The sequence below is a fragment of the Homo sapiens genome, chromosome 5 (genome assembly GCF_000001405.40).
Source record: "Homo sapiens chromosome 5, GRCh38.p14 Primary Assembly".
Classification (NCBI taxonomy): Eukaryota; Metazoa; Chordata; class Mammalia; order Primates; family Hominidae; genus Homo; species Homo sapiens.
This window is the reverse complement of record NC_000005.10, coordinates 163406055-163431478: the sequence shown is the minus strand read 5'-3', so window position 1 is coordinate 163431478 and position 25424 is coordinate 163406055. Positions and strand designations below refer to the sequence as shown.

At 39.2% G+C, this 25424-nt stretch overlaps 1 long non-coding RNA gene across 5 annotated transcripts in view, besides 1 other annotated feature; it reads left to right on the top strand.

Annotated features, from left to right (window-relative positions):
* LOC105377700 (uncharacterized) overlaps positions 1–25424 on the top strand; it is a 348217-nt gene that overhangs the window by 5844 nt on the left and 316949 nt on the right. For 4 of the 5 annotated variants that reach the window (XR_001742961.2, XR_002956233.2, XR_001742965.1 and 1 more), the window contains exon 1: positions 17925–19160. This is a non-coding gene — a long non-coding RNA (uncharacterized LOC105377700). Of the gene's footprint in view, positions 1–17924; positions 19161–25424 lie in introns of those variants that run through there. The other variant, XR_001742962.3, reaches the window with a different exon arrangement.
* Positions 24231–24430: a silencer, noted in NCBI's record as "silent region_16588". NCBI's record gives its function as "represses an Ori minimal core promoter by ATAC-STARR-seq in GM12878 lymphoblastoid cells {active_cell/tissue: GM12878}" and the evidence as "EXISTENCE:reporter gene assay evidence [ECO:0000049][PMID:35858748]".

Genomic DNA, 25424 nt, shown 5'->3' with positions numbered 1-25424 from the left:
AATATTCTCACTTGTCAAGTTTAGGAGCTTTACATCAGTATTGAAGTAAGACTGATAAGTAAAAACATGAATTTTATGTACCCTTATGTAGTGAAAATATGATGGAACAGCACATCAGTTTGTTCAAGCCCCCTTAAAATATCTAGCTTTTGTTGGAAGTCACCCATGCATAGATTTAGGTCAAATAGAATAAAATTTTTAGGTACCTTATGAATGTTTCTATTTTTAATGGAAATATATATTTCCATCATGTAATGATAAACACAGTATGTGTGGGTGCGAAAATACTTGGAAGGGGTAATAGTGCCAAATCACATTGGTGCAGATTTTTGTATGAAATTTTCTGTAATTCCTGGCCTTATAGAAGAACTTCTAATAACTAATAGCAGCGATTTGGCTGAGGCGCTAAGGGACCGACTACAGTCTGGATCCCAGTTTCTCTACTTACAAGTTTTAGCCTCAAGATCTTCATATTGTGAATAACAGTACTACCCAAAATGTTGTTGTAAGGATTAATTGAGCTAATAGGTGGAAAAAAGTACATGTAAGTGCTCAACAAATGTTAGATGTTATTATTTTCTGTAGAAATAAGTCATCTTCCTAGAGAGAAATAAATTACAACCCATGGCACTGCTGACATCAATAAATGGGCAATTTTATCAGGGTCTTTGTCCTTACAATAACATTAGTCTTCCTGTTGTTCTGACCATAAAGTGGACTTCATCTCCTAAGACCACATAAACTGGGAAAAGTTGACCTAATACAAATCAGCTAATAAACATAAACCAATATTTTTGTTTTTTCTTTGGTCTTATGTTTTCCTTAAGTGGATTGTCCCTTATGCATGAAGGCAAATGATGATCCCATGAGAGAGAATGGTACCTTCTCTTTTTGGTAAATTTTGTAGTTTACGAAGGACTTTCACATTTATTTTGTCATGCAATCTTTCCAGAATCCTTGCCAGATTTTCAGGACAGGGTTTATGTATTAGTTTGCTAGGGTTGCCAAACAAAATTCCATAGACTGAGTGGCTTAAACAACAGAAATTTATTCTGTTGCAGATCTGGAGGCGGGAAGACCAAGACCAAGGTGTCATTAAGTGTGGTTTCTTCTGAGGTCTCTTCTTGGCTTGCAGATGGCCACCTTCTTACTCTGTCTTCACATGGTCTGTGGGTGTCTCTTCTTGTAAGGATGCCAATTATATGGGATTTATCTCAATTATGTGTTTAAAGGCCCTGGTTTCAAATAGAGTCACATTGGAAGTCAGGGCTTCAACATATGAATTTTAGGGGGATACAGTTCAGTCTATAACAGATTGTGGCCCATATTTTTTTGGGAGAGAACAATAAAGCCAGAGAGGTTCAATAATTTACTCAAGGTCGCTTGGCTTGTGGATCATGAGTTAGGACTAAGCTCAAGACTTTTCATTCTCCTGTTGTTTCCCATTGCACGTCTCACATTCCCTTCTGGAATTACTTCTCCAGAAATGTTTTCTTAATGGCATGTGTTTATGAAATGATTTCAAGTTCATGAACAAAGAAATGCTATTTTATCTACCTATGAAAACTAAGCTCAGAATTTTATTGCTTAGTTGCACTTTGCTCTGCTCAACTGAATTCACTGTTTTAGACTTCACTATTGATATATATGTATATATATAATATACATATTATATATAATACACATATATTATATATTATATATTATATATGATATACATATATAATATATAATACACATATATTGTATATGTTATATATAATATACATATATAATACACATATATATTATATATAATATATATAATAGATTATATACATATTATGTATATTATATATATTTTATATATACATATAATATATATGTATATTATATATTATATATGTATATAATATATAATATGTGTATTATATATAAAATATATGTATATTATATATAATATATAATATATGTGTATTATATATATTATTCATGTATATTATATATTATATATAATATATAATATACATGTATATTATATATTATATATTATATAAATATTATATATAATATACATGTATATTATATATTATATAAAATATATATTATATAATATACATGTATATTATACATTATATAATATATATTATATAATATATTATACATATATAATATATATTATATAATATATTATACATATATAATATATATTATATAATATATTATACATATATTATATATATATGTATATTTTATATATACATGTATATTTTATATATAATATATATATATTCTTTTTGAGACAGGGTCTTGCTCTGTCATCCAGGCTGGAGTGCAGTGGAACAATCATTAACTCACTGTAACCTCAAACTCCTTGTGATCCTTCTGCCTCAGCCTCCCCAGTAGGTAGGACTACAGGCATGCACCATCATGCCTGGCTAATTTTTGTTTTATTTTATTTTGTAGATACAGTGTTTCACTATGTTACCCAGGCTGGTCTTGAACTCCTGGGCTCAAGTGATCCTCCCACTTTGGCCTCTCAAAGCACTGGGATTACAGGTATGAGCCACCGTGCCTGACAACTATTAATTTTTAGACAATCATTTCACAATAAATTTTGAACTATTTTGAGTAATTAAGGGCTAACTTGTTCAAATACTCACTAGCACATAAGTCCCTTAACAATAAGCATTTTAAAAAGGAAAAGGGCCTATTATGAAGTTTCTGGTGAAGGATATGATATTAAAAAGCCCTCTTGGGCCAATAATTAATTATTGCTGCAGTTTCAAATTTTCTTTCTTTTTTTTTTTTAAAAAAAAAAAACAGTGGAACTCCTAAGGACATCTTGTGAATATCAAAACAAATAAAATGTCCACTGTGGAACAGAGAGTCTCAGTTTCTCTGCCCTCCACCAACCCCCAGTTCATGAGAAGCAGCCCTCTAATTCATCTCTCTCCCACAAAAATGTTGCATTATTCATCTTATCACTGAAAGTTTTTATGCTTTAATATCTCCCCATTTCCCCCACTCCCAGCCCTAACAATCACCTTTCTACTGTTCAGGGAATCTAATATACAGTATGGTAATGACAGTTAAAATAAGCAGAGAATAAGAAGTCTCCATCAGTAAAACTCATAAAATTTTTTTTCTCTATCCAAAAACAAAACCAAAATTTTATTTTTATTTTTTATTCTTCCATAAGTTATTGGGGTACAGGTGGTATTTGGTTACATGAGTAAGTTCTTTCGTTCTTTCATGGTAATTTGTGATATTTTGGTGCACCCATCACCTGAGCAGTATACACTGCACCGTATTTGTAGTCTTTTATCCCTCACCCATCTCACACTCTTCCCCCCAAGTCCCCAGAGTCCATTGTATCATTGTATCATTCTTACATACCTTTGTGTCCTCATAGCTTAGCTCCCACATATCAGTGAAGACATACAATATTTGGTTTGCCATTCCTGAGTTACCTCACTTAGAATAATAATCTACAATCTCATCCAGGTCACTGCAAATGCTGTTAATTCATTCCTTTTTATGGCTGAGTAGTATTCCATTGTGTAAATACATATATATGTCACAGTTTCTTTATCCACTCATTGACTGTTGGGCATTTGGGTCGGTTCCACGGTTTTGCAGTTGTGAATTGTGCTGCTATAAACGTGTGTGCAAGTTTCTTTTTCGAATAATGACTTCTTTTCCTCTGGGTAGATACCCAGTAGTGGGATTGCTGGATCAAATGGTAGTTCTACCTTTAGTTCTTTAAGGAATCTCCACACTGTTTTCCATAGTGGCTATACTAGTTTACATTCCCACCAACACTGTAGAAGCGTTCCCTGATAACCGCATCCATGCCAACATCTACTGTTTTTTGATTTTTTGATTATGGTCATTCTTGCAGGAGTAAGGTGGTATTGCATTGTGGTTTTGATTTGCGTTTCCCTGACCATTAGTGATGTTAAGCATTTTTTCTTTTTCATATGTTTGTTGGCCATTTGTATATCTTCTTTTGAGAATTGTCTATTCATGTCCTTAGCCCACTTTTTGATGAGATTGTTTTTTTCTTACTGATTTGTTTGAGTTCATTGTAGATTCTGGATATTTGTCCTTTGTCAGATGTACAGATTGTGAAGATTTTCTCCCACTCTGTGGGTTGTCCGTTTACTCTGCTGACTGTTCCTTTTGCCGTGCAAAAGCTCTTTAGTTTAATTAGGTCCCAGCTATTTATCTTTGTTTTTATTGCATTTGCGCTTGGGTTCTTGGTCATGAAATCCTTGCCTAAGCCAAAGTCTAGAAGGCTTTTTCTAATGTTATCTTCAGAATTTTTATAGCTTCAGGTCTTAGGTTTAAGTCTTTGATTCATCTTGAGTTGATTTTTGTATGAGGTGAGAGATGAGGATCCAGTTTCATTCTCTTACATGTGGCTAGCCAATTATCCCAGCATCATTTGTTGAAAAGGGTCTCCTTTCCCCACTTTATGTTTTTGTCTGCTTTGTCAAAGATCAGTTGGCTGTATTTGGGTTTCTGGGTTCTCTATTCTGTTCCATTGGTATATGTGCCTATTTTATACCAGTACCACGCTGTTTTGGTGACTACGGCCTTATGATGTAGTTTGAAATCAGGTAGTGTGATGCCTTCAGATTTGTTCTTTTTGCTTAGTCTTGCTTTGGCTGTGCATTCTCTTTTTTGATTCCATATTAATTTTAGAGTTGTTTTTTCTAATTCTGTGAAGAATTATGGTGGTATTTTGATGGGGATTGCATTGAATTTATAGATTGCTTTTGGCAGTATGGTCATTTTCACAATATTGATTCTACCCATCCATGAGCATGGGATGTGTTTCCATTTGTTTGTGTCGTCTATGATTTCTTTCAGCAGTGTTGGGTAGTTTTCCTTGTAGGGGTTTTTTGACTCTTTGGTTAGGTATATTCCTAAGTATTTAATTTTTTTTTGCAGCTATTGTAAAAGGGGTTAAGTTCTTGATTTGATTCTCAGCTTGGTTGCTGTTGGTGTATAGAAGAGCTACCAATTTGTGTACATTAATCTTGTATCTGGAAACTTTGCTGAATTCTTTTTATCCGTTCTAGCAGCTTTCTGGAGTAGTCTTTAGGGTTTTCAAAGTAAACAGTCATATCGTCAGGAAACAGTGACAGTTTGACTTCCTCTTTACTGATTTGGATGCCCTTTATTTCTTTCTGCTGTCTGAATGTCCTGGCTAGGACTTCCAGTACTGTGTTGAAGAGGAGTGGTGAGAGTGGGCGTCCTTGTCTTGTTCCCGGTCTCAGAGGGAATGCTTTCAACTTCTCTCCATTCAATATTACAGTATTATGTTAGCTGTGGGTTTGTCATAAATGGCTTTTATTACATTAAAGTATGTCCCTTGTATGCCGATTTTGCTGAGTTTTAATCATAAAGGGATGCTGGATTTTGTCATATGCTTTTTCTGCATCTATTGAGATGATCATGTAATTTTTGTTTTTAATTCTGTTTATGTGGTGTATCACATTTATTGACTTGCATATGTTCTTTTTATCTTATCTTATTTTATTTATTTATTTATTTATTTTTTGAGATAGGGTCTTACTCTGTCGCCCAGGCTGGAGTACAGTGGTGTGATATCGGCTCACTGCAACCTCTACCTACCTGGTTCAAGTGATTCTCCTGCCTCAGCCTCCCGAGTAGCTGGGACTACGGGTATGTGCCACCATGCCTGGCTAATTTTTTGTATTTTTAGTAGAGACGGGATTTCACCATGTTGGCCAGGCTGGTCTTTAACTCCGGTCCTCAAGTGATCCGCCTGCCTCGGCCTTCCAAACTGCTGGGATTACAGGCATAAGCAACTGTGCCAAGCCCCTTAATTATAATATTTTCATGGCCTCTTTAGAGTTTTCTATATATAAAATCATAAAACTAAGATAATTTTACTTTTTAGTTTCCAGTTTGTTTTTTTGTTTGTTTGTTTTTGAGACAGAGTTTTGCCCAGGCTGGAGTGCAGTGGTGCGATTTCAACTCACTGCAGCCTCCGCCTCAGCCTCCTAAGTAGCTGGGATTATAGACATGCACCACCACGCCTGGCTAATTTTTGTATTTTTAGTAGAGATGGGGTTTTGCCATGTTGGCCAGGCTGGTCTCAAACTCCCGACCTCAGGTGACCCACCCACCTTGGCCTCCCAAAATGCTGGGATTACAGGCATGAACCACTGCGCCTGGCCTTTATTTCTAATTCGAATGCTGTATTAATCAGGGTTCTTTAGAGAAACAGTACTAATAAAATATATATATAAATATATATTACATATGTATAAAATGTGAATTTACATAATATGTAAAATTAGAGTTGGTTCATATGATTATGGAGGCTGAAAAGTCCCATGATCTTGCAGACAGCAGTCTGCAAGCTGGAGATACAAGAAAGCCAGTGTTGTAATTCAGTTCATATCTGAAGGTCTGAGAAAGAGGGAAGCTAATGGTGTATCTCCCAATCTGAGTCTGAAGGCCTGAGAACCAAAGATGGGAGGAAAACTGGTGTAAGGCTACAGTCCAAAGACCTGAGAACCAGGAGCTTTGATATTTGAGGGCAAGAGAAAAATGGATGTCCCATCTCAAGAAGAAAGAGCGAATTGTCCCTTCTGCCTTTTTGTTCAGTTCAGTCCCTCAACAGATTAGATGATGCCTACCTACACTGGTAAGGGCAGATCTTCTTTACTCAGTCTACCGGTTCAAATGCTAATCTCTTCCAGAAACACCCCCACAGACACACCAGAAATAATATTTTATCAGCTATCTTTGTATTCCTTAGCTCAGTCAAGTTGACACATTAAATTGACCATCAAAAATGCCTTTTATTTATTTTTCTTGTCTAATTGTTCTTACTAGGACTATGTGGAATATTGAAAGCAGGCAATTTTTCCTGATATAAGAGAATAAACTTTTAGTCTTTCAACCACTGAATATGAAGTCAGCTGTGGGATTTTCATTTATGGTTTGTTATGGGAAAGTAATTTTTTAAATTCCTAGTTTGTTGAGTGATTTCATCATGAGTGTTCAGTTTTGTCAAATGCTCTTTCTGCCTCAATTGAGATGATCATACAGTTTTTTCCCCTTCATTCTCTTAATGTGGTGTATTACACTGATTTTTGCGTAATGAACCACATTGGTATTGATTCTTTTTTAAATGCTTGATAGAATTCACCAGTGATGCCATCTCGACATGGACTTTTCTCATGGAAAGTTTTAAAATTACTAAACTTATTATATTTAATTATTGTAAGGTTATTCAGATTTTATATTTCTTTTTGAGTTAATTTTGAAAGTTTGTGTGTTTCTAGAAATTTTTCTATTTCATCCAAGTTATCTAACTTGTTAGTGTATAGTTGTGAATATTATTTCTTTGTAATTCTTTTTATTTTATTGAGGTTGGTTGTGATATCCCTCTTTCATTCCTGATTTTTGTAATTTGAATTTTATTTTTTTCTGGCCAATTTAGTTAAGTTTGTGGGTTTTTTTTTTTTTTTTTGATGGAGTCTCACTCTGTTGCCCATGCTGGAGTGCGGTGGCATGATCTCAGCTCACTGCAGCCTCCACCTCCTGGGTTCAAGTGATTCTTGTGCCTCAGCCTCCCGAGTAGCTGGGATTACAGGTGCGCACCACCATGACAAGCTAATTTTTGTATTTTTTAGTAGAGATGGGGTTTCACCATGTTGGGCAGACTGGTTTCAAACTCCTGACCTCAGGTGATCCTACTGCCTTGGCTTCCCAACGTGCTGGGATTACAGGTGTGAGCCACCATTCCTAGCCAAGGTTTGTCATTTTAGTTCATCTTTGCAAACAATTTTTGTGTTTTTAAAAATCTGCTCAGTGTTTTTCTCTTCTCTACTTTATTTATTTTCATTTTAACCTTATTATTTCCATCCTTGGTTTTGCTTTGATTTTAGTGGAAGATGACATTGTTGAGTGGAGATTTTTTTTAAAAAAAGCATTTAAAGCTATAAATTTCCCTCTGAGCACTTCTTTAGTTGCATCTATAAGCTTTGGTATGTTGTTTTTATTTTCATTCATCACATGGGATTTTCAAATTTAAATTTTTTCTCTGTCCCATTGGTTGTTTGAGAGTCTCTTGTTTAATTTTCAATTATTTTGTAGATGTCTCAAACTTTCTCTCATTGTTATTTTCTAATTTTATTTCTTTGTAGTTGGAGAATATATTTTGTATGATTTTAATTCCTTTACATTTATTGAGACCTGGCTTATGACCTAGTCTATGGTTTATTCTGAAAAATGTTCTATTTGTGCCTTAGAAGAATGTGTACTGGCTGGGTACAGTGGGTCACACTTATAATCCCAGCATTTTGAGAGGCTGTGGCAGAGAATCACTTGAGGACAAGAGTTCGAGACCAGCTGAGCAGCACAGCAAGACCACATCTCTATTAATAATAATAATAATAATAATAATAATAATAATAATAATAAGAATGTGTATTTTGCTGTTGTTGGGTGGAGTATTCTAGATGTATGTTAGGTCTAATTCACTTATGGTGTTGTTCAAGTCTTCGGTTTCCTGTTAAATCTTCTGCATAATTGTTTTATTCATCATTAAAAGCAGAGTATAAAGTATCCAGCTTTTATTGTGGAATTGTCTATTTTACCTTTCAATTCCATGAGTTTTTGCTTCATGTATTTTTTAGATCATTTTAAGTTTCTCTATAGTAACTTTTCATGCAGTTTTTTTTTCTTGTTATGATTTTTTTTGGATGGATTTTGAAACCCCTGCATTTTATAATTGATTTGTCTCCAGGGAAATTATGCCATAATGACAGTATTAAACTAAATAGCAATTAGTAAGGTAAATCATTTGCTATATCCATTTGTTTATTATTTTGCAACACTATTGTATTCTATCATCACTGAGGTTAAAAATATGTGTGTATGGGATTCTTTTTATATATATAGTTATATACCGAGGTGTGTGTGTGTGTGTGTGTGTGTATTACATAGAAAGAAGTCATAACAGTTTCCTGAGAACAATAAGTCATATACATTGAAGTCTGTGGATAACTTGAGCTTTCCTGGTGTAGAGGAAAGGGGTTGTAGAAGGTTGTTTTCCTCTAAAATGCTTGTTATATGTGGAAGTGGTATGGAAAACTCTGCTGTAGATAGTTTGGAGTCTTGGCTACTTCATAAAACATGGAATGAAAAATTCGTCTTGAAAATTACTGATAATGGTAAGTATAACTAGGCATTGCATGTTTATTTTTAAAAAGTCTTATTGCTCTAAAATATGGAATACTAATCTATACTCCCCATCCAAAGAATTTGTTTTTGGAAATTCTTACTTATATTCTCCTCTTGCCATCCTGCCATCTCTCTTCTCTCCCCCGTTTCCCATCCCTGCCAGGTCGACTCACCATAAGTAGAAAAATCTCACCATAAGTAGAAAAATCTCTTCATTAAATCTTATCTGTACCATGCTATCATCCCCATGGTTCTTATATCTGCTACAAAATAGCTAATCTAAAAAACTAACTTGTACCAATATAATGTGTTAGTCCTATTTTGGTTATCAATGGCTACATAAAAACAAAACAAAACACCAAAAATTGAAAAAAAAAAAGCCCCAAAACGAAGTGAACTAAAGATATGATGTCATTTGCTTTACCATCAATTCTGTAACTTGGGAAGACATGTAGACAGCTCATTTCTGCTACACTTGGCTAGAGGCAGCTCAAGTGGCTTGGAGGCTGGGTACCAGAATCTTCTGAAGACTTCACTTGCCTACATGTGTGGCTTCAATGCTGGCTGTGAGCTGGAACTTCAACTTTGGTATGGCCAGAATACTTACATGTGGCCTTTCAATGTGGCTACTTGGCTTCCTTACATGGCGTCTGGGTTCCAAGGATGAGCACAGAGATAGAGAGAGAAAGAGAGAAAGAGAGAGACAGAGAGAGGGAGAGAGCATGCCAGGCAGAAGCTTTATTGTCTTTTATGAACTAGTCACAAAAGTCATGCAGCATCTGTTCTGTTGTTTTCTTGTTGGCCAAGGCAGTCCAAACAGCCTACCTCAATTCAAGGAAAATGAAAAGAGGCTCCAAATCTTGATGGGGAGTGGTAACGATCTGATAGAGTGTGTGAAAGCAGAAATATTGCTGTGGCTATTTTTGGAAAATACAATCTGCCACATTTCTCAATGGTAGTATACAAATTTTAATTAGGCAACATTGGGATCTAAAGGAATTAATGTCAAAGTCAGAATTTTAGACAATAAAGCATACCTCTCAGGGAGATATTTAGGCAGCATGTTCAATAACTTTCAAATACTGTGGAGGCAACCACATATGCTGCAATACCTGGGCCAGTTCTGTAAAGAAACAATCAAGTTTTCTTTTCTTTTCTTTTTTTTTTTTTTTGAGATGGAGTCTCACTCTGTTGCCCAGGCTGGAGTGCAGTGGCTCCATCTCGGCTCACTGCAAGCTCCGCCTCCTGGGTTCACGCCATTCTCCTGCCTCAGCCTCCCAAGTAGCTAGGAATACATGCGCCCACCACCACACGCGGCTAATTTTTTGTATTTTTAGTAGAGACAGGGTTTCACTGTGTCGGTCAGGATGGTCTCGATCTCCTGACCTTGTGATCCACCCACCTTGGCCTCCCAAAGTGCTGAGATTACCGATGTAAGCTGCCACACCTGGTGGAAACAATCAACTTTTGTAAGGACCAAGTGAGCCCAGCTTTCCATGCAAAGTAGAATTTATTTTTGTAAATTTAATAATCTCAAAATATGAAGAGAGTGTTTTAAGAAGCCTGTTGTCACCGCTGCTTCAACTTGTACAGAAATATTGCCATCCAAAATGATCAAAATATTATCAGTGTGGGTTCTCTTTTAAAACTCTGAAATCACCTAAGTATAAAATTAGTACAGATTAGACAGTTTGTAAGATGTATATCAAAAAAAGTAGTATGTCAAGGAAAGTCAGAAAAGGAAATGGACTTGAAAGTCATCTAAAATTCTATAAAGAAAGAATGATTCTATTGCAACTGAGTGCCAAGAATATCAGCAGTGCCTTCTTCATGCTGTTTTTGAACTTAAAGGCTAAAAGTGATTGACATTTCTATAACCAGGCCTGATAATTTCCACGGTCAATACGTGTCCATTGAGAAAGTTCCATAGCTGGTGGGGAAAAGAACTACTCCAAAATTTTTTTGTTTGTCCCTTTGCCAATCAGAAATTTCTAGAAATGGACACATTTTACACTTTTATGCAAATACCAGTCTAATTACTGGCACCAAATACTGAAAATTACTGGAATAGAGCACTAAGTGAATATTGGGTTGTGAGAGTTAGTTATGATTCTGATTTGAGAAGAAAGAGATTGTTGCTTCATACTCTTTTTTTTTAAGATGGAGTCTCACTCTGTCACCAGGCTGGAGTGCAGTGGCAGGATCTCGGCTCACTGCAACCTCCAACTCCCTGGTTCAAGTGATTCTCCTGCCTCAGCCTCCCGAGTAGCTGGGATTACAGGCAGGCACCACCACGCCCAGCTAATTTTTGTGTATTTAGTAGAGACGGGGTTTTGACGGCTGTTACAGTCCGTTGTTGTCACTCCCTGTTTACTCCCATGAGTTGAAGGTTAAAGGTTAGGGAAACCCAAAGTTATCAGTTAACCAGAATACTTGACTAATTCTCCTTTACCGTTCCTCTGGACAAAGGGCCTTTATTTTATATGTAATCTCAAGACCATTGTGATAGGTACAGGGAGTTCTTGTTAAGTAAGTGCTCAGGATCCAAGCTACTCCACAGTTAGAATAAATGTGTAAATGAATGTACTCACTAATGAACCAAACACTTATGAAATTAGTCTCATCTAAGTGATTCAATCATTAGCACTTGTTTCTAGCCCACCCATCAGGTCAATTATTGGGGAGCCTGCCCCCAATAGTCACGTAGGTTCTTTTCTATTTTACCTAAGCGTCAGCCAGGTTGAGAAATAAAGGGACAGAGTACAAAAGAGAGAAATTTTAAAGCTGGGCATTGGGGGGAGGCATCACATGTCGGTAGGTTCCGTGATGCCCCCTGAGCCGTAAAACTGGCAAGTTTTTATTAGTGATTTTCAAAAGGGGAGGGAGTGTACGAATAGGGTGTGGGTCACAGAGATCACATGCTTCACAAGGTAATAGAATATCACAAGGAAAATGGAGGCAGGGTGAGATCACAGGACCACAGGACCGGGGCGAAATTAAAATTGCTAATGAAGTTTTGGGCATGCATTGTCATTGATAACATCTTATCAGGAGACAGGGTTTGAGAGCAGACAACTGGTCTGACCAAAAATTTATTAGGCGGGAATTTCCTCATCCTAATAAGCCTGGGAGCACTATGGGAGACTGGGGCTTATTTCATCCCTACAGCTCGACCATAAAAGACGGCCGCACCCAAGGGGGCCATTTTAGAGGCCCACCCTCAGGGACGCATTCTCTTTCTCAGGGATGTTCCTTGCTGAGAAAAAGAATTCAGTGATATTTCTCCCATTTGCTTTTGAAAGAAGAGAAATATGGCTCTGTTCCACCCGGCTCACCAGTGGTCAGAGTTTAAGATTATCTCTCTTGTTCCCTGAACATTGCTGTTATCCTGTTCTTTTTTCAAGGTACCCAGATTTCATATTGTTCAAACACACATGCTCTACAATTTGTGCAGTTAATGCAATCATCACAGGGTCCCGAGGTGACATACATACTCCTCAGCTTATGAGATGACAGGATTAAGAGATTAAAGTAAAGACAGGCATAGGAAATCACAAGGGTATTGATTGGGGAACTGATAAGTGTCCATGAAATCTTCACAATTTATGTTTAGAGATTGCAGTAAAGACAGGCATAAGAAATTATAAAAGTATTAATTTGGGAAACTAATAAGTGTCCATGAAATCTTCACAATCCACGTTCTTCTGCCATGGCTTCAGCCGGTCCCTCCATTCAGGATCCCTGACTTCCCGCAACAGTCAATGTCAAGCAGAATATGTAATGTAAATAGAACCCAAATATATTACACCATAAATTTGCAAACCTTGTAAAAGGATGATGGCGGCTGGGCGTGGTGGCTTACGCCTGTAATCCCAGCACTTTGGGAGGCTGAGGCAGGCGGATCACAAGGTCAGGAGATCGAGACCGTCCTGGTCAACATGGTGAAACCCCATCTCTGCTAAAAATACCAAAAAAAAAAAAAAAAAAAAAAAAAAATAGCTGGGTGTGGTGGCATGTACCTATAGTCCTGGCTACTCAGGAGGCTGAGGCAGGAGAATGGCGTGAACCCGGGAGGCAGAGGTTGCAGTGAGCTGAGATCGGACCACTGCACTCCAGCCTGGCAAAAGAGCGAGACTCCGTCTGAAAAGAAAAAAAGAAAAAAAGGATGATGGCAACACAGATACTTTAGAAATGAGGGATTCGAATATCAAAGGGTAAGGTAAAGTCCTTGGGAAAATTGATGAAATTCTAGAAGACTTTTCAAAAGTCTGAAAATGGAATATGAAAGAAAGACTGACATAGGAGCTTTCATATAATTTTATCAAAAGGATCATGCCAAAAGCAAAAAGTCAATCCTTAATTCTATTTTTGTTTCTTGTAGGAATTAGGACATAATTGTTATTATAAACAAATTTTTAAGTGTAAGATTGATTTTTAAAAAATAATCTTTAGTTTCTCTTTGCAATATGATTGTCCCTATAAAATTTTTCCATTATTTAATAATAAATGATATTCCCATTTTTAGTGGATTTAATGTTTCTTTTATGAATTATCTTCAAATAATGACGTTATAAACTGATACTTTTCATCTTGTCAGTTTCTCAAAGGCCTGGATATGAACATATTCTCTCTCCAGGACTGGAACCCTAAAGATACTTCCTAATCCTAAATACTGGTTGATATCACCCTTAACAATTTTTAGACTTACAGTAGATTCAGTTTAGATATTCTACATTAGATTACAGTTGGACATTCTAGTTAGACATTCTAGTTAGTAACATTCTAGTTAGAGTTTGACATGACCTTGGAGATTTTCCACTGGAGCCCTCCTATCTTCCCATTGAGGAAACTCAAATCCGACCCTGGTTTCCCTGTTAACTGCTCTAGTAACATTGATTCTGTTGTCTCCATATGCTTGGACCTTTCCCAACTTGCGTGTGGGGTCTCATCTAAACAGAATTCTGCCTGAAATGTTTCCCCCGCCCCACACTTCCCTCCACCCTTCTCAATTTTTACCAGCCCTTTAAGATCATTCACTCAATCTCTTAGGAGGAGAGAAAAATAACTTTTTCTGTTTTAAATTTTTTTTTCTTGGATGCCTTGAATATTATTTATATCTCTGGCTTTGTAAAATAAAAATATACAATTGAAAATGTTCAGAAAGACCAGGTGTTATGGCCAGCACTTTGGGAGGTGGAAGAAGGAAGATCACTTGAGGCCAGCAGTTCAAAGCCAGCCTGGGACCCTGTCTCTACCAAAAAAAAAAAAAAAAAAAAAAGAAAAAAATTAGCCAGGCATGGTAGTGTACACCTGTAGTCCTAGCTACATGAGAGGCTGAGGTGGGAAGATCACTTGAGCTCATGAGCTTGAGGTTACAGCAAGCTATGATCACAACACTGTACTTCGGCCTGGACAGCAGAGCGAGATCCTGTCTCATCCTCAAACAGCAGAATCTCACAGCATTTATCAACATGTCTAAAGAGAGACAAAGTACAGCACCTAGGCATGTGTTTCTTTTTGGGGATTTGGTGACATCACAGGAATTGGTGTACAAATACATCGACTGGAATATCCAAGGCGCTTCCCTCTCGGTTTATCATGGAGATGAATCCAAATCCCATGCGCACATTGAACCACTTACAGTGGCCAGTTCCGCGCAAAACCTGGGATTCCTCCTCTGCCGGCTCCAGCAGCTTCCCGGGGTCTTCTCCACGACCTTTGCTCGCCCCGCCAATTTAAGAATATGGCACTGTTTTTTCTGTGCCTTCCCCCAAAACTTTTGAGCCTAAAATCCTTTTATAATATAAATTGCCCATAAGCTTTTAAAGCTCCTAGAGTGCTTCTTTCACATAAAGTCGTCCTATGAGTCTTCTAGAATGCTTTCCAATTTGTCACTTTCCTGAAGTCTTCTGGTTTTAATTTTTTTTCTCATTTCCTACTTGTTTTTAGTGCCTGAAAGACCTGTGTTTGACTCAAAAGGCGTGTTTTATTCCCGCAAAAGCCAAATACTTTATAGCTTGACTTATAGTTCTTTCGAAATGTCTTTAAAATCAGTTCAAGTAGCTACAAAGAATCGTCAATGTACTGGGGGGAAAAAGCAAGGAAATAAAACTATCATATGCCTGTTGGCTATCACAATCATCCCCATTTAAAAAACAAGGTACACGTTTTCCCAGACTTTTTTTTCCAACAGTACAAGGAGCCGAAAGAGGTGCCAGAGCCCACCGTCGTTGTTTTCAGTTATAAGGAATGAGTGACTGCTGTTAAAGCAGAAACAATGCTTCGGTTCTTCTTAAAACTAGGAGGAGGGGGCTGTGGCAATGCGGCAAGTGACTCCACCCGTCCTCTCCTCCCCGCAGATAAGGCGGGGTCTGTAGCCCAGCGCTGCCATCGCAACCTGCCTCTCCAGGCAGGTGGCTCCCCAGGCGGCCGAGACCTGAGACCCCAGACCCCGCGCCAGCAGATCTGCACTTTCCCTCCACCTCCTGCCTCTGCAGCTTCCTCTCACCTTTCTTTCCTCAGTCACTTTTCCCTTTATTCGTCATTTTACCATCTCCTCTCCCTAAGTGGGGTAGATCCAAAGAAGGCTGGTGATTTCTCACTAATTAAGGGACTTTTACATTTGTCATCTTGTCCCCAAGAACACCAAACAAAAGAAATCCGTGCCTTCACTACTATGGCAAAAACACTGTGCACAACCTACTATTTTTACTGAATTTCCAGACGTATATCATTTATAATTTGATCCCTTTTCCTATGAGATGCCAGAATCTCCTAAAGCTAAGCTAAGTGTGTTCCTCTGTTTTAAATTTTTATATCACTTGTCTGTGTACACATTTGGCAGTTATCACCTAATGTTTTCTTAGCACTAATAGTGACAGGTAATTCCATATCTACTGATGTCACTCAAATCATCTCCACATTCCGCTTTTTTTTTTTTTTTTTTTGAGGTGGAGTCTCGCTCTGTTGCCCAGGCTGGAGTGCAGTGGTGCAGTCTCGGCTCACTGCAACCTCTGTCTCCTGGGTTCAAGTGATTCTCCTGCGCCAGCCTCCTGAGTAGCTAGGACTACAGGCATGTGCCACCACACTCAGCTAATTTTTTGTATTTTTAGTAAAGATGGGGTTTCACCATGTTGGCCAGGCTGGTCTTGAACTCCTGAACTTCAGCAGTCTGCCTGTGTTGGCCTTCCAAAGTGCTGGGATTACAGGCGTGAGCCACCAAAACCTCATTTTTGAGACAAAAGTCCTTAGCATTTTAACTGCTTGTTACATTTATCTCCATATTTTTATTTATTTTGTACTTAACAACTTTTTTTCTCACAGACAATTTTAAACACACATAGAAATTCTCCCTGTTTGATTTTTAAGAGTTTCTTTGTTCTGTTTATTTTAGTTTCTGTCTTATTTTGCTTTGGAGTTTCTGTTGGCTGCTCATCATTAGAAGTGAGTAATTAGAAAGCTGTTTGGGAGCTGTGTGTATGTTTGTGGTATTTGTTGACTAATGGGCTAATGGGTTTCCTTGTAGGGTGGCAGTACTTATATGGGGCATAATTGTTTCCCCTAGGAGACATTTGGCATTGTCTCGGGACATTTTTGAATGGCCATCACTGACATGTAGTGGGAGAAACCAAGGATGCTTTGAAACATCCTGCAATGCACAAGACAGCCTCAGCAACAAGGAATTCTATGGTCCAAAACGTCAATCATGCCAAAGTGACTGGGCATCATCATCTCCGGCATATTGATGATTAGACAACTGAGAGATCTATTCACAAAACTATTTCACAAAAATTATATATAGAGCTTCTTGGGGGGCATTTATTTTCTCCACCAAGGGATCCTCTGATATTCTGTCAGCAGATATTTTCTTAAAATTAAATTTATTTGAAAGTGTTTTGAGAGTGAGGTAGGGAAGGGAGCTGGCATTCTCAGAACCTGTCTTTAGTTGGATGCCTTCTCCTGCTTTCTGGGTGCCAGGTGTTCCAGAGTCTAGGGTCTCTCTGCTGCAGTGTCCTTTGAGAACAAGCACTGCAGTATGCTGTGGGGGTTAGGGAAGAGCAGTTGCTTGGCTGTGATGAGGGCATGGGGATCTGAGAGCTTAACTGCTCCTTATACAGATTATCAACTGATCACATACATTTCAGTCTATCTTCTAGGTTACCTGGAGCCTTCAATTTCTGTGAGCTTCTCTCTCCTCCCTCCTTCCCGTCTCACCTTCCCTCCATCTCTTCCTTCTTTCCTTCCTTCTTTTTCTCCCTTTCTTTCCCTCCCTCCCTCCCTTCCTTCCCTCCCTCCCTCCCCTCTTTCCTTCCTTCCTCCTTCCCTCCCTCCTTCCCTCCCTTCCCCTCTTCCTCCCTTCCCCCTTTCTCCTTTCCTCCCTTCCTCCCTTCCTTCCTTCCTTCCTTCCTTCCTTTTTTTCTTTCTTTCCTGAATAGGATTTCTTTTTTGGAAACCTTTCCTGAAGTCATGTTTTAAGCTTTCTCAGCTCTGGTAAATCAGTTACCATTCCTATATCAACTTTCAGTCTCAAAAAAACATGTTAATTTCTTCTTCATTGTCTCCTCTCCCATTCTCTTTACATTTTGAATTTAGACTTTTTACATTTATTTCACTATTGCTTTAGTGAATTTTTATTGAACCGTGTGACAATCAACCATATATTCAGCATGCCTTGTTAAAAGGTAGTTCAAATATGCCCTTAATCTTTTTGCGTGGCTTTAGAGTATCAGATAATTTTAAAAAATGATATAAAATAATGAAGTGATTCATACTCCAGAGATTCATCATCTCCTTTTCTGGGATAGGGCATCTGATGTACAAATAAGGGCAAATGACCAGGGGGCACAGATTGTCAGACCTGAAACAGCAGTGTTCACTGGAGAAGTTTCAGACTGTAGGGGTAGCAGGCACGTGGGCACCTTTGGCCTGTTTATTCTAGGCCAGCACAGAGTTCTAGCAAAGCCAGACTTCAGATTGCCTGAGAGGGGCTTTCACCTGCATAATTAGGGATGCTCCAGCCCCTCTCCTAGAGTGGTAAGAGGCCATGATACAATAGCACTATGACGTGATGGAATCTTGGCAGCAGCCCTAGCCCTTACCTAGAGAATGGCAAAGCTGCAGAAGAAACTGCCAATGGAGTGCTCAACTCCAGAAGCCTGAAACCTAGGTCGGCTTGGCAAGGTGCCTTGCGCCCCAGTGTCATGGCTGCGGTGGAGCCGCCCACTTCAAGGGGCCCTGCAGAATCAGACAGTGAGGATAGTGGCAGCAATCACAATGGGCTGAAGATTAAATAACTCTTGTTGACTTTTTCAAGTATTTATAAGCTCCCCAGATTCCCATGGAAGTCTACAGAAGGACATAATGAGAAAAGTAGGTTTAAAGGAAATAATGTGAAATTTCTTCCACACTTGAGTTGGTGAGTTAAACGCCACTTAGTCTATATGTGGTTTAAATGTTGTCCCATTGCCTCATTATGGCCTGATGTAAATTCATATGAAACTAGGATATTTAAAAGCTTATTGGGATAGCAAAATAGAGTTGATGTATTCACTGCAAAGATTATGGAGACCATTTATTGCTCTGAACATTTCAATATGTTGGCTTCTTGAGATTCCAACCCCAAGGGGACATGATAGTGATGAAGATGGAGAAATAGAAGTTTAAACAGCACAATTTGAAGAGGGGGCAAAAGTAACACTTTGATGAACCTAGACCATATAGACCAGTATAAGGTCAGCAAAGTCTGGAGGACCATGTGCTCTCTCCCTAGATTGGACCAGAAGCCCAGGCTCTACTTTTAGGAAATGGCTCAGAGAGCGCCCACTGAACTTGTCTCTGATGTCTTAGGCAGATCAAATGCTTCTCTGGTCTCTGCTTTCACAGATGGAGGATCAGGGGTGTGTGAGCACCACCCCGCTTGGTCTTGGAGACGGATCAAATCCAGACTGGTGAGTTCCGGGGGCTTGGGCAAAGTGTGGATAGAGTTTCTGAGGGTAGGATGATGAGGACATTTGGCTTGGGGGCTGAGAAGGAACATTTTTCCTGTAAAATTAAATCTTTACTAAGACTACTGCCATTAGGGGCAAGTACTGAAGAAGATCATGTGTTTCAAAGTAAGTAGCCTGACAAGATCTTGTTTGGGTTAAAAATACGTATTTATCTTATTTTCATTTTCAATATCTTATTTTACAGAGTTCTCTATTAAGAGATGCTATGAGTGGCTAGGCGTGGTGGCTCCTGCCGGTAATACCAGCATTTTGGGAGGCCGAGGCAGGTGGATCGCCTGAGGTCAGGAGTTTGAGAGCAGCCTGACCAACATGGTGAATCCCCATCTACTAACAATACAAAAATTAGCTGGGTGTGGTGGCGCATGCCTGTAATCCCAGCTACTCGGGAGGCTGAGGCAGGAGAATTGCTTGAACCTGGGAGGTGGAGGTTGCAGTGAGCTGAGATAGCACCATTGCACTCCAGCCTGGGTGACAAGAGTGAAACTCCATCCAAAAAAAAAAAAAATGCTATGAGTAAACAGCATTGCACCGTTAAGTAGTTTACAGGATCTGTTGAAGAAGACAGGGAGTCTCTTACCAACAACAAAAGGCGTTCCAACGCCTGGAATTCAACCGTATGGATGCACAGTGTGTTCTAGTTATAAAGTGGCTGATTTCAGGTAAAAGGAAAAAGTAAAGGAAAAAATCCTGTAGTGAGTGGGAAATAATAAATGCCTACGAGGCAATCCTTGGCATTCCTTGGCCTGTCACTCCAGTCTCTACCTTCAGCTTCCCATAGCCATCTCCATATTTCTCCTTTTCTCAAATCTCCCTCTCTTTTCTCTTAGAAGGATGCTAGTCATTGAACACAGGGCCTTCCTAAATCTGGATGATCTCATCACAAGAGTCTTTACTTAATTACATCTGCAAAGCCCTTTTCTCCAAATAACATCATGTTCGCAGATACTGAGGGTGGGGCCTGGATACATCTTTCAGGGGCCACTATGAAACTCATTACAAAGGCCTAATTCATTTTTCCTGATTGGCCCACACTGCTTCTCCGTCCTCTGGGATGCTGCAGTACTATTCTGTTTGTGCGCCTGTCTCACAGGAGTGATTAGCAGATCTTTATACTCGGTGTCTCTAGCATGATGCCTGATGTACCATAAGGCTTCAATGTGTTTGTTGAACTTAAGCAAAGCATCGCTTGCATCATGTCCTGAGTGTAAGCCTGGCTCACACTCAGCCGTGATATGTTATTCAGATCACAGCCACTCACGATACTCTGGGAAGTCAGCACGCTCCTACCAAGGCCAGACATCTCTGAACTGGAAAACACTTTACTCAGAGCTACCCATTTTTTTTTATGTCTTATAGAAGGGGCCAAGTGGAGAGGGCAGCTACTCATGTACTCATTTTTATTCATTCGTTTGTTCATCCATTTAAGAAACACTGAACACCTATTCTGAGCCAGGCCCTGCCCCAGGCATTTGAGATACAATGTGTGTATGGTAAAACCCTCAGCATCTGGGCTGGGATTGGAACAAGTGAACACTCAATTTACATTTATTGTGGTCATGGCCTGAGTGTGGAAGGAAGTGTAGAGTGCTGTGAAAGTCCTCAGACAGGCCCCGAACCTAGACTAGTGGTCAGGGAGATTGTCCTGGAGGAAGTGACATAAATACTGAGACTTGGAGAGAGAGGGTGGTCACCTCAAGTGCAGTGGTGGCAGTGGAGAATTTCAGAAATGTAGGTGGTAACATAGGAAAGTTTGTTTTTTTGTTTTTTTTGTTTTTGTTTTTGTTTTTTTAGACAGTGTCTCGCTCTGTCACCCAGGCTGGAGTGCAGTGTGTGATCTTGGCTTACTGCAACATCTGCCTCCTGGGTTCAAGCGATTCTCCTGCCTCAGCCTCCCGAGTAGCTGGGACTACAGGCGCATGCCATCATGCCCAGCTAATTTTTGTATTTTTAGTAGAGACAGGGTTTTGTCATGTTGGTCAGGCTGGTCTCGAACTCCTGACCTCAGGTGATCCACCGCCTTGGCCTCCCAAAGTGCTGGGATTACAGGCGTGACCCACAGCACCCAGCTGCAGGGAGGATTTTAAAGGCAAAAAAAGGGGGACAGGGAGCGGCTGATATAAAATTGTCAGGAATTCTCATTGGTTTATAGAAATAACAGTGATTAATGATTGGCTACACATTGTTAAGTTATAGAGTATGGATTATGGTGTCCATTGTTGCATTGTTAGATAATTTATAGCTACTTATAGCAACAGTAAGCAGTTTCAAGAGATGAATACATAGTTCAAAGGGCATATGCTGGTCTCATTTTAATGTCTCTCTAGGCCTGGTAATTTAAAATAATTTGTGTTGTTCACATGTTAATTTCTTGTCTCAGCCTGCAGAAATGCCTTTTAAAAATGGTCTTGCTCATTAGCTGTGTCTTATTATGAAATTGTGTCATTAGAAGTTGGTCCATCATTCCCAAATTGTGGTCCCCAGATAAACAATATCGTATTCTAGGGGTCAAGGAGAAAACTTCCCCTTTGCCCTCTGAAGGTTTGCTGAAAAATGAACTCACAAAAGGCAGATTAATTAGAGAAAAGGCATACAAAATTTATTAACGTGTACGTGGGAAGGACTACAGTGTGACTGCCCAACCCCGTAATGGAATGCAACTTGAGCTTACAGAAATAATGAAGGCTCACTGCATGGCCGAAACCAGGTTATGGTGGTCAATCAGGTTATAGTGGCAAGACAGGTTATGGGACGGGGAGAAGAAGTGGCTTGTTTAGAAAAGGTGATCTTGTTAGGTAACAAAGTAGCAACCTTCAGAGAGATAGGTGGTAAATGTTTCTTTCTGATGTTTAAAGGTGTCAGACTCTCAGGTAATCTTCCTACATCTGGACAAGGGAGGACCTAGCTGCATTAATGTAGATTCTCTACAGATGCAAATCTTCCCCACTAAAGATAGCCTTGCAGGGCCACTTCTGTTTGCGGGCTCTTTGACAACCATCTATCTCCCAAAATATGTCAAGTAAATATACTTTGGGGTAAAAAATTTTGATTTCCTTCAATAGTATCTGGGAACTCATTAGAAAGTCACATTGTCAGAAAGTGTAGTGATGGGGCCCCCATATTCTGAGCTTTAAAAAGCCCTCCAGAATATTCTGATGCACTTTGATGCAGCTGGAGAGACACTGCCTTGAAGAATTGCATCCTTAGCTAAATACATAGTAAAACCCAACGCAAAGTCAAATAGTATCTAAGTGAAATCAAATCAAAATGCAAATCCCCATGGGGATACTTTGCAGTAGGAATTATTTTTAATAAGATTACAAAGTAAATGAATCAGATTCTTTTTAATGTAACAGCTGACTGACAGCTGGTTTTGACAGGGTGAAAGCCTGTGAGACCACAGAACAGCAAGGCCTTGGCTGGGAATGTGGGGCACACAGTGGAGGAGAACTCGAAGAATGTGTTAGTAGTTTCGTTGCTGTGATTAAGGAAGTTGGCATGTTGCTGCCAATCAAATCTTGTGTTGAGGGGGTGTTTTTAAAATTAGAGATGCCTTTTGGAAAGATTCTCTAGCTCTGGTTCCTGAACACAAGGGGTTTGGTGTTCCTCCATGTAGCCACTAGATGGCAGGCTCACGCCATTTTTCAAGCAGCCAACCCTGTCTAAATTTAGGGGGGGAAATGAGCCTAGGAATTTGAAAAGGGTGCCAGCTTATTCGTTTTTATCCTGCGCGTGGTTTTGACATTCTATTTTTTTGGACTTCATCCATTAATTATGACACTCAAAGTTTTTTGTTCACTGAGAGGCAAAGAGCCAAAGCTTTAATTAAACCCGTGGGGGCACTGCCTTGCGGCAGAGAAGGGTAACTACCATGTGCCAGCGCTTACATAAATTGTTTCATTTAATTCTCACAGCATCCTCATGAAATAAGTGTTGTTATCCACAGTTTTACATAGGAGAAAACTGACGGTCAGAGAGGCTTAGCAAGAGCCCAAGACCACCCAGCTGAAAGGTAGAAATGAATTTGCCAGTAAACCACGCTCATTAAATTCTTGAGGAATAGTCATTGCAATTAGTAGATTTATTGCAATCTTAGGAAAGTACAGCTAGATTCAGCCCGAGGTTTTATGATGAAATGAGAATTATACACGTTTTTTTTTAAAAAAATATATTCTCAGTATTGCAACATTCTAAGTTCCACTGGTTTTATTTGCAGAATGGCATGTTAGCCTTTTCTAGATTTATTATAGAAAATAAATCAGTTTATTTTTATGTTTTTTGAGACAGAATCTCTCACTATGTCGCCCAGGCTGGAGTGGTGGAGAGGCGCAATCTCGGCTCACAGCAACTTCCGCCTCCCAGTTCAAGCGATTCTCCTGCCTCAGCCTCCCGAGTAGCTGGGATTACAGGCACCCACCAGCACGCCTGGCTAATTTTTGTATTTTTAGTAGAGACAGGGTTTTGCCATGTTAACTAGGCAGGTCTTGAACTCCTGACCTCAAGTGATCCGCCCGCCTCGGTCTCCCAGAGTGCTGGGATTACAGGTGTGAGCCACCGTGCTCGGCTGGAAATAAATCAGTTTTAATTAGGATTTAGAAATTAAATCTCTGAATCTAACTGAATGTTAGAATTGTAACCCCTAAGCTCCAAACTGTAATCTATTTGCATAGAAATTTAGGTGTGATTTTCTTGTAGCAGGCACCACTTTCTACTTTGTATTAAAATTGCATCAGTTCCTGAAATCCTCTACTTCCTTGTGAATCCAGGAAGACAGGCTCCTTGCCTGAGTCATTTTTTAATATTTTTGGCTTACGTTGCCTTTATTGATTGTTTTCCCAAAGCATTCAACTTAGTTCTCATAGAAATAGCAACTTTTCTCCCTTTTTGCCCTAAGTTTTCTTTGCCTTGTGTATTAAATTTTACTGTCTAATTACAAACACACTCTTAGTAAGCATGCAACACAGCTGGAGGCAGCAGAAGTGTGTGGGCATTCCAGGAAGTCACATACAAGCCTCAAACATTCAGCCTGCCCTGGCCACTAGTCAGTAGGTTTTGCAGAGGTGCTCGAGAATTTGCATTAATCTACTGAGTCTAGTAAGAGAGTTTCTACTGTATCTGGATTGTGTCTCTCAGATAGGCTGACAAAACCACAAGGTGGAAACCATGAATGGTATTAGTCCATCTCAATAATAAAGCAACATTTGGCTGCCATTTTATCTGTCTGACTTTTCTGAATCAACTGATATCTCGGCATCATATAGAGGCACCTTTGTGTGTGTGTGTGTGTGTGTGTGTGTGTGTGTTTGAGACAGAGTTTTGCTCTGTTGCCCAGGCTGGAGTGCAGTAGCACGAACTTGACTCACTGCAACCTCCCGCCTCCCAGGCTTAAGTGATTCTCCTGCCTCAGCCTCCTGAGTAGCTGGGATTACAGGAGTGTGCCACCACGCCTGGCTAATTTTTTGTATTTTTAGTAGAGACAGGGTTTTGCCACATTGCCCAGGCTGGTCTCGAACCCCTGAGCTCAGACAATCTGCCCGAGAGGCAACTTGTTGGGAGAAATAACCAGTTTGAATGAGAGATCCTGTAAGGATTGGTTGATCTTCTTGGGGAAGAAAAACTAAGCAAAATAATTAACCACGTGAAGAAACGATTTAACAGACACTTCTCTTGTCAGGCAAGGGAAGTAATGTTTATTGAGCTCCAATTTTATGCTGTGCACTGAGTCAGAGATTGCACACATGCCACCTGATTCGCTCCTTACAACAGTATGATAAATTAAAAATTCTTATTCCCATTTTACCGATAAGGAAACTCAGTCTCAGAACACTTTCAGTAACTTACATGTGATAAAACAGGTAGTAAGTGGCAGGAAGTTATCAGGAAGAGTGTGTGTAATCAGGGCTGGGGCAACACTGGTGCAAAATAATTTATGATAAGTGAAACATCTACAATTTTCGTAAGAACAGGATCAGTAATAACGTTGTGCTGAACCATACTGGAGCCCGAAGCCAAGGGAATTTTTTGATGCCCCTTAAATTCTGTGCCAAGACAGGAGCCTCATTTGCTTCGCCCTAGGCCCAGCCCTGCAAATACTACAAAGTGCTTGTTCAGAAAGCTTTTTTCCAACATTTATCTAATAACAATTTATTGACTGGCTACTGTGCACCCGTCACTATGATCGGGTTTTGAAACAAAACATTAAGTTAG